This window comes from Homo sapiens, chromosome 6 (assembly GCF_000001405.40).
Source record: "Homo sapiens chromosome 6, GRCh38.p14 Primary Assembly".
Classification (NCBI taxonomy): Eukaryota; Metazoa; Chordata; class Mammalia; order Primates; family Hominidae; genus Homo; species Homo sapiens.
In genome coordinates this window covers 126155014-126173348 of record NC_000006.12, presented here as the reverse complement: position 1 = coordinate 126173348, position 18335 = coordinate 126155014, and the positions used below count along the sequence as shown (strand labels likewise).

General features: G+C 41.1%; 1 protein-coding gene across 24 annotated transcripts in view; it reads right to left on the bottom strand.

Annotated features, from left to right (window-relative positions):
- TRMT11 (tRNA methyltransferase 11) overlaps window positions 1–18335 on the bottom strand; it is a 285804-nt gene that overhangs the window by 98995 nt on the left and 168474 nt on the right. The window lies entirely within an intron of this gene.

The window sequence follows — 18335 nt, the reverse complement described above, 5'->3', positions numbered from 1 at the left end:
CTGACAGAAAGGTGGAAACGGGGAGAATGTTACTCAATACTTTTTTGCACTGTACTAATCTCTCCTCAAGGATGCTTTGCCAAGACAAATCATATATTTTTATATAAAGCATCTACCATTTCTACTCCTTTGCCATAAACAGGCATTTCAAACTTAGCAAGGGCAAGAGAACTTTTTTACTAGAATAGAATGTTAGCTCCTTGAAGACAGAAATTCTGCTAGGCTCATTTACTGCCATACCCTGAGCACCAGAATAATGTTTGGCACACAGTAGGTGCTCCGAAAACATGTGTTGGCAACTACCTAACCATAATGGTAATGAGGGCATTGCGAGGCCTCATGACATATCTTCTCTACCTACATATTGTACACATCCTTCTTACACCCCGGTTCACCTCCTGCCAGCCTTTCCTGACTCTTCCCACATTTTATAAACTCCCTTCCCTTCTGTGCAAATTTATTATCTTCCCAGTATCCTCACCTCATCTATATGCCTCCTTTGTTCTACATTTTCTCTGATCTTGCATGTATCAGAGACTTTTACAGCATAAGTTTAAAAACTTATGAAACAGTGAGTGTTACAGCTCCACTGTCCCTTCTAAGCTTACTGCCTAGAACCATGAAAGAATGAAGACTCTAGTTTGCAAAGATTTCCTGCAGAGGTAACAGCTGTGAGTACAGCAAATATTGGACGGATGGGACACAAAGTCACGCTAACAGTATTGAAAGTGTTTCAATAAGACAGAAAAAAAAATACACTTGAAGAAAATGTCCTACTTCACACTTTTGACCAGGGCTAGAATAAATCTGTGAGGAAATATTTGTTGAGGCTTTATGTGATTCTGAGCAATCTGTGAGGTAAAAATCACATAACTACCGGGGACTCTTTTCAGATGTAATGAAATGCAGCCATGGTCCAACCTTGACTAGAGATTCTGCATGGGGGTTCTGCCACATGATGGGAAAGACAGATGGCCCACAGGATTAGTGTTTCTCTGCTCACATAACTTCTTGGAGTAACACTCAAGAACAGACCAAAATGACATCTTATTCTAAGTACCTCCCTTTGTCGATGTGACACCTCAGCAATCCCCCCACAATGACAGAATTTTGGCTCCTCAGCTAAACTTAATGATGCAGAAATAATTCAGGACATGAAAACTGAGGGGAAAAAAAGGTGCTGTACTAAGCAAAAACCACTTAGGGAAAATACCTTTTTTTTTAAATTTTGATCAAGTAATTCAGCCACTCCAAACAATGTAATCATGTTTGTGTTTCTCATTGAGCACTGGTGAAAAACATTTAACCTTTTTTTAAAAAGCCCTTTAAAGGCCAGGTGTGGTGGCTCTTGCCTGTAATCCCAGCCGTTTGGGAGGCTGAGGCGGGTGGATCACCTGAGATCAGGAGTTTGAGACCAGCCTAGCCAATATGATGAAACCTTTCTCTACTAAAAATACAAAAATTAGCTGGGCATGGTAGCAGGCTGCCCGTAATCCTAGGTACTCGGGAGGCTGAGGCAGGAGAATCGTTTGAAGCCGGGAGGCAGAAGTTGCAGTGAGCCGAGATCACACCATTGCACTCCAGCCTGGGCGACAAGAGCGAAACTCTCTCTCTTAAAAAAAGAAAAAATCTTTAAAGACACAGTTTCTCAAGATCCGATTTTAAAACTACAACATTAAAGTATCACCACCTAATAGTATTGTCACACCCTCCACTCTTGTGACAAATTGTTTTATGACTATTCCCTCCCCAGTTCTCACACTAAGAATACTATAAGAGCAGTTAAAAAAAAAAATCTTGGTTTCAAGTTTTCTTAAATCAGCTACAGTTCAACAACCTGAAATAATTAAAAATAAATTAGAACCTAATGTTCAGTAACCCAATCATAGCATGTGGCTAATTGTGAGTATCCAGTCAACACCAGCACCAAGTTCTGATGAAATAAAACCATCCCACTGACATATCCCCGGCACCCACCACCCCCAAGACTCTTAGGATACAATGTCTATCTATCACTTGCCAGGGTTACTTCCTTCTGTTACCACAAACACTCCCATTGCCAGCAAAAGCCTTAATCAGTCTTGAGAAAAAAAAAAAAGTAAGCGAATCCTGCTTTTGCTTTCATAACGCTATAAAAATACATATAGCCTCCTTCGATAGTTATCTATCTCCCCAGTTATGGCCTCCCCAGAATAAATTCTGGTGGGTTTAAGTAGATGAAACCAAATACTTCGAAGTTCCTCTTTCCATAGTAATTACTTACCTCACAACCAAAAGAGGGCAGCACTGAGGGCATCAGTAAAGGAGGTCAAAGTTAAATAGCATATTTAAGTGGGGATCAACCTGCTCATTAAAATCACCTGGTACAGTAAAAAATACCATCCCCAGAGTTTCTGAATCAGCTGCCCTGAGGAGGGACCTCTAAGGCATTGACATTTTATTGATGCTTCCCAGGTTATTCTACTGTGCCTTGTAACCAAAGCAGTTTTCACTTTATGTTTTTCCCTTATTTTCACTTATTAAAATATTTCACTTATTTTCACTTAGTAAAATAGGTTTTCCCTTATTTTCAGCAAAGTTAAACCTGGAAAAACCCCCAAAGAGCATCGAGATTGTGCTTCTCAAACTTCCATGAGGGCACAGATCAGCGGGAGATCTTGTAAAAATGCAGATACCACGTCAGGAAGTGTGGAGTGAGACCTGAGGTAGCACAGTTCTGGCGAGCTCACAGGTGTGCCTCATCTGAGAACCACACCTTGTTCTCCCTGTTAACTTTACTAGATAAAAAAAAATGAGACCCAGACAGAGACTGTGGCTTCCTTCAGGTAATACAGCCAGCGAAAGAACAAAATGTGATCAGAACTGAACATAATGACCTCTGTCTTGGGTTACCACAGCAGCTGACATATGGAAAGAACATCCACTGAATTTTCTATGGGAAACTGGGAGAAAACTAAGTGATAAGGAAATTTTGGCAATTTCAAGTATAAAAAACTCATAGTGTAAAGTTAGTGTAAATAAACTAGGGAGAGGGTTACAATTAAAAAAGTAAGAATCAGTTTCGGGTTTTTTGGTTTTGAAGCAGGAGGTATGAATGCATGGTAAGAGAATAAAACAAACTGAACAGAAGTGAAAAATAAGCAAACCCTGTATAATAGCACATGAAAAAGGGCACAGAGAGGGAAAAAATGAAACAATAGAAAATAAAAGACACCAGGCTGACAAAAGGAAAATAAGAATAAAAGTAGAGAGCTGGAAAATTAGACACAGGTTCTAAAATAAAAGGAAAATACAGCAGCATGGAAAGGAACAAAAAGAAAAATCTAATGAGACGGGAGGATTCCTGGAAAAAGACTATATAAAATAAATTGCAAGAGAGTAGAGACCATGAGAAGGTAAAGTACTAAAGACAGTCAGGAACCTGAACACATATAAAAAAAAATTTGTCTTATTTAGTAGAAAACAGAAAAGAAGTTGTATTTCATGAAATATCATGGTTTTTATTTTTCCTGTTTATATTTTTTAAATAACAAAAAGTAATTTCTCCATTACCAGCTGGGACCTGAAAGATTTGCACAGTTCTAGGAAGGGGAAGTAAGAACTCTTCTGAGGCTACCATCTCCTCTAGGCAGAAGGAGTTGAAAAGAAAACAGGTTTAAGTCCAAAAGCATTCCATTTTTTGTGTCCTATGTAAAATATTATGGGACCCAGAAACTCTTCACCAGCCAGGTGACCACATATTTTACCACAGCATGAGAGACAGGCTTTTTTGAAGAAGCCATAACTCCAGCTTTATGAACTGATCCAGGCAGTCAAAACCAAGAGGAATCATCTTCAGGAGGAAACGTTTCCCCTGAGCATGTATCTGTGAAAACTAAGTTCAGACTGATGAGTCTTTTCGACATGGGTAACACTAAGCACCATTGTTGCCCAAATACATTTAGATCGTGGCTCTAGGGAAGTCCCTTTAATTACATATTTCCACTGACCATTTCCATTCACTAACCATAGCTCATTTCCAATTCCAAAACATCACTTAGAGTCTCAAGGAAGAAAAAAAAATATTGCAGAAGTTTTCTTTCCTATAGACCAAACGTTAAAAATTCAAATGCCTACAAGGACAGGGCAGCTCACACAAATGGGTAAAGCTGGCCTGCCTTAATAAGACTGGGAGCACGTGTCACATTAAAAGGTAGCTCCATCTACCCAGTTCCAGTATGCAGAAATGCAGACTCAGTGCTACCACATGCACCTGCATTCCAGGAGACTGAAGAAATGCAGATTCTTAGGTGCGATCTCCTGATTTTTAAATGTTAATGATTAGTTTGTTCGTTTGTTTGGTTTGATTTTGGAATAACTTTGCAATTCTGTTTTAGATCCTGCATTTTCGTTGGAAAAGATGGAAAATTTTCTTAGCAATCAAAAAGGAAAGAAGTAGACATAATGGTATGAGACAAGTGGATCCACCACAAGTAGACTCACCCATAAAATAAAGCACAAGTGGTTTGTACTTTTATAACATTTCTTTTCATGGCAGGGCATGGTGGCTCGCACCTGTAATCCCAGCACTTTGGGAGGCCGAGGCTGGCAGATCACAAGGTCAGGAATTTGAGACCAGCCTGGCCAACAGGGTGAAACTCCTTCTCTACTAAAAATATAAAAATTAGCTGGGCGAGGTGGCACACTCCTGTAATCCCAGCTACTTGGGAGGCTGAGGCAGGAGAATCGCTTGAACCCAGGAGGCAGAGGTTGCGGTGAGCCAAGATCGCGCCACTGCACTCCAGCCTGGGTGACAGAGCAAGACTCCTTCTTGGAAAAATAAAATAAGACCTCTTTTCATCCAAGGAGAGGGAAAGTGGCAATTCTAACATAATGGCCAATATGATCAGTAGGATACAGCTGGCAAAAACTTAGCCTCACTTCTAGCATTTATTCCTATAGCTCCATATATTGAGAGCATTTTCTTTCCATTCACCAATGACATGTCATTCATATCATTAACAGAAATAAGTTTAGTTCTTAGATTTTGACTTGAAATCCCCTGGGTAGTCCCTTTTTACTCAGTATCAACGACTGTTGGAGAAACCATAAAGAACTCCCCCTAACACTGGTTCTGACTACACAGCTTTTCTAGGAGGGCTGAGGTTGCCGGTGTAAGAGAAGGAGTTCCACAGCTTCACTGTTCAGCATTAATATTCACTGATAAAAAGAAATGTGTTTCTTAATATGATAACCAGCTCCTAGTCTCCTGAGGCTCCACTGTAGCTGAGTTTCATGAGGCCCACATCAATCTTCCAAAACACATCTGAAGCCATGCAGTTCACATTCCAGCTATAAATGGGAGACACTGACCCAAGTCCAAACAAAAACAAAAATCATCCAAAACCTCCTCTTTCCAACATCACAGGCTTCTGAATAAAATGTTTACATTCTCCCAGGCTGGAGTTCTTCCAGACAGGGCTGGAAACCAAAGTCACAGTGAATATCAGAGGCTGACTGATTACAAATCAGGAAACCTACCCAGAAACATATGTCCGAGGTGGAAAAAGAAGGCTGGTCTGTTGAGCGTATGAAGACTGGGAAATACACATATGTGCTGTATCACTTGCATACATTTGAGAAACTAATGATTATCCATAGGCACAAATACAGACACACACCATATACACACACATAAGAGCATTGCCTTCTCCTCAAAATTCACTGATTCCCATACTTTATTTTTTAGATAAGCTGAACACACAATAGCAAATTAATGTTTTAAGAACCATAACAGATGGCTGGCAAGATGGCTAGGAAGAGCTCTGGTCTGCAGCTCCCAGTGAGATCAAAGAAGAAGGCAGGTGATTTCTGCATTTCCAATTGAGGTACCCACTTCGTCTCATTGGGACTGGTTAGACAGTGGGTGCAGCCCATGGAGGGTGAGCAGAAGCAGGGTGAGGCATCACCTCACCTGGGAAGTGCAAGGGGTCAGAGAACTTCCTCCCCTAGCCAAGGGAAGCTGTTAGGGACTGTGCCATGAGGAACAGTGCTATCTGGCCCAGACACTATGCTTTTCCCATGGTTTTCGCAACCCACAGACCAGGAGATTCCCTCGGGTGCCTACACCACCAGGGCCCTGGGTTTCAAGCACAAAACTGGGCAGCCATTTGGGCAGACACCGAGCTAGCTGCAGGAGTTTTTTTCATACCCCAGTGGTGTATGGAATGCCAGCGAGACAGAACCATTCACTCCCCTGGAAAGGGGGCTGAAGTCAGGGAGCCAAGAGGTCTTGCTCAGTGGATCCCACCCCCAATGAAGCCTGACAGGCTAAGATGCACTGGCTTGAAATTCTTGCTGCCAGCACAGCACTCTGAAGTCAACCTGGGACACTTGAGCTTGGTGGGGGGTGGGACACTGGTCATTATTGAGGCTTGAGTAGGCAGTTTTCTCCTCACACTGTAAACAAAGCCTCCAGGAAGTTCGAACTGGGTGCAGAACCCACCGCAGCACCATGAAGCCACTGTAGCTACACTGCCTCTCTAGATTCCTCCTCTCTGGGCAGGCCATCTCTGAAAGAAAGGCAGCAGCCCCAGTCAGGGGCTTATAGATAAAACTCCCATCTCCCTGGGACAGAGCACCTGGGGGAAGGGGCAGCTCTGGGTGCAGCTTCAGCAGAATTAAATGCTCCTGCCTGCTGGCTCTGAAGAGAGCAGTGGATCTCCCAGCATAGCGCTCGAGCTCTGCTAAGGGACAGACTGCCTCCTCAAGTGGGTCCTTGACCCCCGTGCATCCTGTCTGGGAGACACCTTATACAGGAGAGCTCCGGCTGGCATCTGGTGGGTGCCCCTCTGGGACGAAGCTTCCAGAGGAAGGAACAGGCAGCAATCTTTGTTGTTCTGCAGCCTCCGCTGGTGATACCCAGACAAACAGGGTCTGGAGTGGAACTCCAGCAAACTCCAGCAGACCTGTAGAAGAGGGCCCTGACTATTAGAAGGAAAAAAAACAGAAAGGAATAGCATCAACATCAGCAAAAAGGATGCCCATGCAAAAACCCCATCCAAAGACCTCCAACACCAAAGACCAAAGGTAGATAAAGCCATGAAGATGAATTAAAAATAGAGCAAAAAGGCTGAAAATTCCAAAAACCCAATGGAAGGAAGCTAAGAACCTTGATAAAAGGTTACAGGAACTGCTAATTAGAATAACCAGTTTAGAGAAGAAAATAAATGACCTGATGGAGCTGAAAAACACAGCACAAGAACTTCATGAAGCTTACACAAGTATGAATAGCCAAATCGATCAAGCGGAAGAAAGGATATCAAAGACTGAAGGTGAACTTAATGAAATAAAGCATGAAGACAAGATTAGAGAAAAAAGAATTAAAAGGAATGAACAAAGCCTCCAAGAAATATGGGACTATGTGAAAAGACCAAACCTACATTTGATTGATGTACCTCAAAATGACAGGGAGAAAGGAACCAACTTGGAAAACACACTTCAGGATATTATCCAGGAGAACTTCTCCAACCTAGCAAGACAGGCCAATATACAAATTCAGGAAATACAGAGAATACCACAAAGATACTCCCTGAGAAGAGCAACCCCAAGACACATAATCATCAGATTCACCAAGGTTGAAATGAAGGAGCAAATGTTAAGGGCAGCCAGAGAGAAAGGTTGGGTTACCCACAAAGGGAAGCCCATCAGACTAACAGCAGATCTCTCTGCAGAAACCCTAGAAGCCAGAAGAGAGTGGGGACCAATATTCAACATTCTTAAAGAAAAGAATTTTCAACCCAGAATTTCATATCCACCCAAACTAAGCTTCATAAGCAAAGGAGAAATAAAATCCTTTAAAGACAAGCAAATGCTGAGGGATTTTTGTCACAAGCCGGCCTGCCTTACAAGAACTCCTGAAGGAAGCACTAAATATGGAAAGGAAAAACCATTATCAGCCACTGCAAAAACATACTGAAATGTAAAGACCATCAACACTATGAAAATACTGCATCAACTAATGGGCAAAATAACCAGCTAGCATCATAATGACAGGATCAAATTCACACATAGCAATTTTTTTTTTTTTTTTGAGGCACGGTCTCACTCTATCACTGGGCTGGAGTACAGTGGCACCCATCTCGGCTCAGTGCAACCTCCGTCTCCCAGGTTCAAGTGATTCTCCTGCCTCAGCCTCCTGAGTAGCTGGGATTATAGGCACCCACCACTACGCCCAGCTAATTTTCTTTATTTTTAGTAGAGACGGGGTTTCACCATGTTGGCCAGACTGGTCTTGAACTCCTGACCTTGTGATTCGCCCACCTAAGCCTCCCAAAGTGCTGGGATTACAGGCGTGAGCCACTGCACCCAGCCAACGATATTAAATTTACATGTAAATGGACTAAGTGCCCCAGTTAAAAGACACAGACTAGCACATTGGATAAAGAGTCAAGACCCATCAGTGTGCTGTATTCAGGAGACACATCTCATGTGCAAAGACACACATAGGCTCAAAATAAAGGGATGGAGGAAGACTTACCAAGGAAATGGAACGCAAAAAAAAGCAGGGGTTGCAATCCTAGTCTCTGATAAAACAGACTTTAAACCAACAAAGATTAAAAGAAAAATACAAAGAAGAACATTACAGAATGATAAAGGGATCAATGCAACAAGAAGAACTAACTATCCTAAATATATATGCACCCAATACAGAAGCACCCAGATTCATAAAGCAAGTTCTTAGAGACCTACAAAAGACTTCAACTCGCATACAATAATAGTGGGAGAATTTAACACTCCACTGTCAATATTAGACAGATCAATGAGACAGAAAATTAAAAAGGATATTCAGGACTTGAGCTCAGCTCTGGATCAAGTGGACCTAATACACATCTACAAAACTCTCCACCTCAAATCAGCAGAATATACATTCTTCTCAGCACCACATAGCACTTATTCTAAAACTGACCACATAATTGGAAGTAAAACACTCCTTAGCAACTGCAAAAGAACAGAAATCATAACAAACAGTTACTCAGACCACAGTGCAATCAAATTAGAACTCAGGATTAAGAAACTCACTCAACACAGGTGCAACTACATGGAAACTGAACAACCTGCTCCTGAATGACTACTGCATAAATAACAAAACGAAGGCAGAAATAAATAAGTTATTTGAAACCAATGAGAACAAAGACACAACATGCCAGAATCTCTGGGATGCAGCTAAAGCAGTGTTTAGAGGGAAATTTATAGCACTAAATGCCCACAGGAGAAAGTGAGAAAGATCTAAAAGCAACACCCTAACATCACAATTAAAATAACTAGAGAAGCAAGAGCAAACAAATTCAAAAGCTAGCAGAAGACAAGAAATAACTAATATCAGAGCAGAACTGAAGGAGACAGCAACATGAAAAACCCTTCGAAAAATCAATGAATCCAGGAGCAGGCTTTTTGAAAAGATTAACAAAATAGGTAGACTGCTAGCCAGACTAATAAAACAGAAAAGAGAGAAGAATCAAATAGACAGAATAAAAAATGATAAAGGGAATATCACCACTGATCCCACAGAAATACAAACTACCATCAGAGAATACTATAAACACCTCTATGCATAGAAGTGAATAGACCAATAACAATTTCTGAAATTGAGGGAGTAATTAATAACCTACCAACCAAAAAAAGCCCAGGACCAGACCGATTCACAGCCGAATTCTACCAGAGGTACAAAGAGGAGCTGGTACCATTCCTTACGAAACTATTCCAAACAATAGAAAAGAGGGACTCCTCCCTAAATCATTTTATGAGGCCAGCATCATCCTGATACCAAAACCTGGCAGAGACACAACAAAAAGAGAAAATTTCAGGCCGATATCCCTGAGGAACATTGATACAAAAATCCTCAGTAAAATACTGTCAAACCAAATCCAGCAGCACATTAAAAAGCTTATCCACCATGATCAAGTCGGCTTCATCCCTGGGATGCAAGGCTGGTTCAACATATGCAAATCAGTAATCCATCACATAAACAGAACTAATGACAAAAACCACATGATTATCTCAATAGATGCAGAAAAGGCCTTCGATAAAATTCAACACCCCTTCACGCTAAAAACTCTCAATAAACAAGGTATTGATGGAAAGTATCTCAAAATAATAAGAGCTATTTATGAAAAACCCACAGCCAATGTCATACTGAATGGGCAAAAACTGGAAGCATTCCTTTTGAAAACCAGCACAAGGCAAGGATGCCCTCTCTCACCACTCCTACTCAACCTAGTATTGGAAGTTCTGGTCAGGGCAAACAGGCAAGAGAACAAAATAAAGGGTATTCAAATAGGAAGAGAGGAAGTAAAATTGTCTCTGTTTGCAGATAACATGATTGTATATTCAGAAAACCCCATCATCTCAGCCCAAAATCTCCTTAAGCTGATAAGCAATTTCAGCAAAGTCTCAGGATACAAAATCAATGTGCAAAAACCACAAGCATTCCTATACACAAATAATATACAGAGAGCCAAATCATGAGTGAACTCCTATTCACAATTGCTACAAAGAGAATGAAATACCTAGGAATCCAACTTACAAGGGATGTGAAGGACCTCTTCAAGGAATACTACAAACCACTGCTCAAGGAAATAAGAGAGGACACAAATAAATGGAAAAACATTCCATGCTCATGGATAGGAAGAATCAATATCATAAAAATGGCCATGCTGCCTGAAGTAATTTATAGATTCAATGCTAGTCCCATCAAGCTACCATTGACTTTCTTCACCGAATTACAAAAAACTTCTTTAAATTTTATATGGAACCAAAAAAGAGGCTGCATAGCCAAGACAATCCTAAGCAAAAAGAACAAAGCTTGAGGCATCACACTAGCTGACTTCAAACTATACTACAAGGCTACAGTAACCAAAACAGAATGGTACTGGTAACAAAACAGATATATAGACCAATGGAACAGAACAGAGGCCTCGAAAATAACACCACACATCTACAACCATCTGATCTTTGACAAACTTGACAAAAACAAGAAATGGGGAAAGAATTCCCTGTTTAATAAATGGTGTTGGGAAATCTGGCTTTGCCATATGCAGAAAACTGAAACTGGACCCTTTACTTACACCTTATACAAAAATTAACTCAAGATGGATTAAAGGCTTAAACTTAAGACCTAAAACCATAAAAAACCTAGAAGAAAACCTAGGCAATACCATTCAGGACATAGGCATGGGCAAAGACTTCATGACTAAAACACCAAAAGCAACGGCAACAAAAGCCAAAATTGATAAATAGGATCTAATTAAACTAAAGAGCTTCTGCACAGCAAAAGAAACTATCATCAAAGTGAATAGGCAACCCACAGAATGGGAGAAAATTTTTGCAATCTATCCATCTGAGAAAGGGCTAATATCCAGATGGATATCCACTTTTGATATCCATCAAAAAGTGGGTGAAGGATATTAACAGGCACTTCTCAAAAGAAGACATTTATGCAGCCAACAAACATATGAAAAAAAAGCTCATCATCACTGTTCATTAGAGAAATGCAAATCAAAACCACAAATGAGATACTATCTCACCCCAGTTAGAATGGCGATCATTAAAAAGTCAAGAAACAACAGATGCTGGAGAGAATGTGGAGAAATAGGAATGCTTTTACACTGTTGGTGGGAGTGTAAATAATAGTTCAACCATTGTGGAAGACAGAGTGGCAATTCCTCAAGGATCTAGAACTAGAAATACCATTTGACCCAGCCATCCCATTACTGGGTATATACCCAAAGGATTATAAATCATTCTAATATAAAGACACATGCACACATATGTTTATTGCAGCACTATTCACAATAGCAAAGACTTGAAACCAACCCAAATGCCCATCAATAATAGACTGGATAAAGAAAATGTGGCACATATATACCATGGAATATTATGCAGCTATAATAAAGAATGAGTTCATGTCCTTTGCAGGGACGTGGATGAAGCTGGAAACTGTCTTTCTCAGAAAACTATCATAGGAACAGAAAACCAAACACCACATGTTCTCACTTATAAGTGGGAGTTGAACAATGAGAACATATGGGCACAGGGAGGGGAACATCATATGCCAGGGCCTGTAGGGGGGTTGGGGGACAAGGGGAGGGTTAGCATTAGGAGAAATACCTGATGTAGATGACAGGTTGATGGGTGCAGCAAACCACCATGGCACATGTATACCTATGTAACAAACCTGCACATTCTGCACATGTATCCCAGAACTTAAAGTATAATAAAATATTTAAAAATAATAATAATAAAAAGAACCATAATACCAGATGTACCAGGTGGTGGCTGCCAATGTGTGCCACAGATTAAGTTTTGACCTTTTGACTCACCCCGATTTGTACTTCGATTTCTAAACTTTCTGTACTTTTATTTCTAAACTTTCTGTACTTTTATTTCTTTCTTCTTGCTTGAAGAAAATTGTCTAAATAGGAGTTTTCTGACAGGCTCCTGTCAACCAATCATTTGTTAGCTTCACCTAAAAGAAGATTATTGTTTGGAGATGGAGATGAAGTTCTAATTATCATTAGTCTTTAACACGTTTTATAGCTCTCAGTAAAAGCATATGAGGTCAGAGTGTCTGCTGTTTTCAGTTTGGGATTAAACAGGTCTCGTCATGTCTGTGAGGGTGGTAAGCAGGAGGGTCAAGAGAAAAGGAAGTAATGCTGGTCAAGAGTATATCTGACTAAAGAGACCCCTGGCAAGAGCTTATGCTGAGGGAAGGAGAGTTAGAAACACAGCTACACAGTCACCAGGAGGAGCGAGTAGAACAATGCTTCAGCATGAAGTCTTCCTATTGTTGAGATCGCTGTCCTTCTTACCTCTCCAGAATCATCTCTGCCTTCCTTCTAGTCTCCATGGACTTGAGCATGAGGTCTAGAAAGATGGTGACTCTTCTTTCACGTAAATATATTTTTTGAAAAAGAAAAAAAAAAGAAGCAATAGCAACAACTCTGAGACACTTTGGGTGAGGAAAAAAGTGTGAAAAATAAATTTTTCCAGTATCAGTGAAGTACAGCATGGTCATAGTCCAGTGGGCTTCAGTAATAAGTCTCCCTAAGAGCATATAATCACTTTGTGAGGTGAATTGTGACCTCCAAAAAGACATGTTTAAAGTTCTAATCTTTAATATATCTGAGTGTAACCTTATAAGGAAATAGGGTCTTTGCAGATGTAATTAAGATATACATGACTATGAGGTCATACTGGAGCAAGCTGGTTTCTTGATCCAACATGACTGGTGTCTTTATAAGAGAAGAGCCATGAATATGTCCAGAAGTGAGGGAAGAGTATGTTAAAACACCCGAGGTAAGAGATCAGACAGGATAGTCCTGCTGTAAAATTGTATTATTTCACACTTTTTTTATCACTTATATTTTGTAGTTTCCTTCCAATTCCTGTTGACTTCATGAAAATAAAACTATGTACAATGTTATTATTTGAAAAACAAGAGAGAGAGGAGAAGAGACACAGAGACAAACACACAGGGAGAATGCTATGTGAGGACAGAGGCAGATTGTAGTGACCAGGACTGACCGATGCCACCCAAAGCTAGGAAGAGGCAGGGAAGGATTCTCCTCTAGAGGTTTCAGAGGGACCACAGTCCTTGATTTTGGATTTCTGGCCTCTAGAACTGCAAGACAATAAAATTCCACTGTTTTAAGCCTCTTACTTTGTAATAATACTGTGTTATGGCAGACATAGGAAACTAAAACATGAATGAAATACAATAGAAACTTATTTGTCCGTATTATAATAGTGGAAGATGGCTGTTCCTGGTTGACAAGCAGCTTTCCTCTATGTAGTGATCAGTGGCCAAGTTCTTTCTGTCTTGTGGCTCTGCTATCCTCTAGGGAAGGTACCAGCAAAATATAGCTCAGAGATTCTTTTTGTAAATAAAGTTTTATGGGAACAAAACCATACATATTTGTTTACGCATTGTCTATGGCTAGTTTTGCACAATAACAGCTGAACTGAGTACCATAGTCATGACAGAGACCATATGACACTAAAGCCTAAGGTATTTGCAGACCTCCGCCCAGAGTGCCATCACCATTTGGATCTAGCCAGCACAAAGGGGAAAGAAAGTTTGGAGGGGACAAACCAGCTATCCACAAAGTGGCACATATCACTTGCAAATATCTAGCATTGTCTAGAAATTAGTTACACGGTCACATCACATTGCAAGAGAGGTTGAGAAGTGTATTACAGGTGTCCCAAGAGGAGGAGAAAACAGACATTTAGAAGAAAAATTAGCACACTCTGCCCTTTGGCATCAGTGGGAAATGTCACCCACATCTGCACAGTAGCAGTAGCAACTGCAAGGGGCCACCTAAGTAATGTTTCACAGAGCCCAGAGGCTTTAAAGAAGACATCACCAAAGGAAGTCAGAGCTGGATGGGCAACGAGGGAAGTGACAGAAAGATGCCACGTGGTAGCTGAGAATACCATTTCAAGAGCATCCAAAAGACACCATCTAGAACTTCCCACAGTAACTGGTGAGAGAGAGAGGCCTTTGTAGGAGGGAGAAGTTCCACAAAAGCAGGTGGGAGATAGAGCCACAGAAATTGCTTTTTTCCCTAAAATTTGGCTCGACATTGCCCCAAGCTTGAAGTGGCCTTTGCAACCTGGTTTATACCAAATGCAATAAGTAAAAGGCATTTAGAATGTAAAAAATAAATACAGTACAATTTGGGGAAGCTTGTCTCCTATTTGCCTGACATTTTTTGAATCTTTCATATACCATAAGGATCCAGAGCATGAAAGTAGCACTAAAGAACCTATTATATAATAGATTTAGACACTAAACATCAACAATTGTTGGCCTCATAAAAAGAAATAGACATGAGCTTCCTCCTATAGTCTTCCCAAACACTCCTTCTAGTATTGCCAAAGATATTGAACTTGAATCTGATCCAGTGTCTGGATCCAGCTGCTAATTTGCAGAAAATACAAAAGGACAAAGGAACATACCAAACTATACCATGAGCATGCATTCAGCAAAGTCCAGACCATGGGAAACTTTACAGGTCAAACAGTCCAGGTGTTCGACAGAAAAAGCACAGGGAAAAGATTGAGGTAGAGAGAAGAACCATAGACTGAAGGTTTCAAAAGACTGATCAAATTTTAAATAATGGAAAAGACTAAATTACAATGTGTAGGAGTGGACTTATATAAATGTTCAAACTAAACATACACACACATACAAGGAAGTGATTATCAAAAATAATAGTAATAAGCTTATTACTATTATTCTGTTATATAGCATAATTATTACATATGGCAGAAGGGAGGGGATTATGATTGGAATAGAGGATATAGAGGGGCTTATGAGTGGCTGACAAAGTTCTATTTGATCTAGTGTTGGTTACAAAGGCTTTTGCCTTAAAATTTACTAAGCAATTCATTAACATGTACACAAATTCATGGGAGAGCATTCTGTATCTGCATTTTATTTTACAATTTAAAAATGTAAAGACTAAATTATAAAAGAGAGAAAAAATAGCTGAATAACAGCAAGGTAAAGAAAACTAGAGTAACTCTCTTTTGAACAAACTATACAGTCATTAATAGAAATCCAAATGTAAATTTAATTCCTTTTCATCAGACCCATCTAAAAAATCCCAACAGTCAATTGGTGGCTTACAGATGATGCTGATGTACTGGATGATTAATCTTTTTGTGATATTAAGCCAATGTCATTTCATCACAGGTAAACTTCAAATTGTAACTTTCCTATAGTTCTCCTTATCTTCCCTGCACCCTCTTAATCCAGCGGGGTTCATTGACTCAGGAAAAGAGCAACACACAGCCAAGAGCAGCAGTCATCAATCAGTTTACAGCTTTATAATATGAAATTTTACATCCATAGCAAGGCTATTCCCTGAATGCAAAGGCTTTTGGTTTAGCAGGAGCCAGGCTTTCTTGAGGAGGAAAAGGGTTCTATTGAAATTCTCCAAAGCTAAGTATTTGTATATAAAAGCCAAACTTGAAGGACTCAGATCAATAATTACATGCTTCCCAGAGTAGAAAAGAAAGACAATAATCTATTGTCAATTCTAGAAGATAAGAACTGAAATGAAAAGCCATTTCTATGCTGGCAGAAAGAAGAAGAGGAAGTGTGGACGAGGTATCAGAGGTGGGCAGCCCACTTCCTGCCTCCCTACCCAGAGGTCAAACCTCAGGGACAGAGAGCAGTCTATGGACAGGAGAAGCAGTGATGTAGGTTTGGGGGCATCTGAGGGACCATTGTTGATCCTCTGCTTTCCTGGGCAGAGACTGGCCCTATCAAAAACCTTTCAGAGAAACTCTGCATTTGGAATGGTACAACCTCACAATGGCAGCAGGAGTGGACCCAGCTGAAGAGGCAGATTCCACCGCTGAGGAAGATGCCTGTGTATGAGTGATATAGTTTGGATGTTTGTCCATCCAAATCTCATGTTAAAATTTAATCTCCAATGTTGGAGATGGGGCCTGTTGGGAGGAGATTGGATCCTGGGGGCAGATCTCTCATGAATGGCTTGGTGCTAGCCTCGTGATAGTAAGCAAATTCTTGCTAGATTCGGTTGTTTAAAAGTTTGTGGCACCTCCTCCCTCTCTCTCTTGCTCCCACTATGGTCATGTGAGATGCTTGCTTCCCCTTCACCTTCCACCATGACGGCCCTCACCAGAAGCAGATGCTGGAGCCATGCTTGTACAGCCTGCAGAATCATGAGCCATTTAAACTTCTTTTCTTTATAAATGACCCAGTCTCTGGTATTTCTTTATAGCAACACAAGAATGTACTAATACATAAAACTAGTACTGACGAATGTTAGTCTGTTCTTGTGATAAGCCTGCAGGTGCACAGACTGCAGGAGTGAAGGAGGCTTGACAGCTCCCACCTATATTCCAGAGGATGGATAGGAAAGCCTGGGAGCTGAGGCAGAAGCCTGCTATATGGGTGTTGCCCCCACAGAGAAACTCTACGAGGGCAGTGCCAGGGGAAATGTGGGGTGGAGCCCCCACACAGAGTCCCCACAATGACACTGCCTAGTGGAGCTGTGGGAGGGGGTCCTCCACCCCCTCAGACCGGAGAATAGTAGAGTCACCAGCAGCTTGCAACCTCAGTGTGCAAAATCCACACACACTCAACTCCAACCTGTGAGAGCAGCAACAGAAACTACACCCTACAAAGCCACAAGGGCAGAGCTGCCCAAGGACTTGGGAGCCCACCCTTGCACCAGTGTGACCTAGATGAGGGACATGGAATCAAAGGGGATTATTTTGGAGCTTTAAGATTTAATAACTTCCAAAAGGCTGGGCACGGTGGCTCACACCTGTAATCCCAGCACTTTGGGAGGCTGAGGCCGGCGGATCATGAGGTAAGGAGATTGAGACCATCCTGGCTAACACGTTGAAACCCCATCTCTACTAAAAATATTAAAAAAAAAAATTACCCGGGCATGGTGGCGGGCACGTGTAGTCCCAGCTACTTGGAAGGCTGAGGCAGGAGAATGGCGTGAACCTGGGAGGCAGAGCTTGCAGTGAGCTGAGACTGCGCCACTGCACTCCAGCCTGGGTGACAGAGCGAGACTCCGTCTCAAAAAGAAAAAGAGATTTAATAACTTGCCTGCTGGGTTTCAGGCTTGCATGGAGCCTACTGTCCCTTTCTTTTGGCCAGTTTGTCCCTTTTGAGATAAGAATGTGTACTCCATGACTGTATTACCATTGTATCTTGGGAGCAAATAACTTGTTTTGATTTTACAGGCTCATAGGTGGAAGATGAGTCTCAGATGAGACTTAGGACTTTGGACTTGATGCTGTAATGAGTTAAGATTTGCGGGGACTATTGGCAGGGGATGATTTTATTTTGCAGTGTAAGAAGGATATGAGATTTGAGGGGCCAGAGGCAGAATGATATAGTTTGGATGTTTGTCCCCTCCAGATCTCATGTTAAAATGTAATACTGAATGTTGGAGGTGGGGCCTGGTGGAAAGTGTTTTGGCCATGGGGGCTGATCCTTCATGAATGGCTTGGTGCTGTCCTTGTGATAGTGAGTGAGTTCTCACGAGATCGAGTTCTTTGAAAGTGTGTGGCACCTCCCTGCCAGTCTTACTCCCGCTCTTGCCATATAAAATGCCTGCTCCCCCTTCAACTTCTCCTATGATTGTAAGATTCCTCGGGCCCCATAAGAAGATGCTGGAGCCATGCTTGTATAGGCTGCAGAATAGTAAGCCAATTAAATATCTTTTCTTTTTAAATTACCTAGTCTCAGGTATTTCTTTATAACAACTCAAACAGCCTAATACAATGAGTTTAGAGACCAA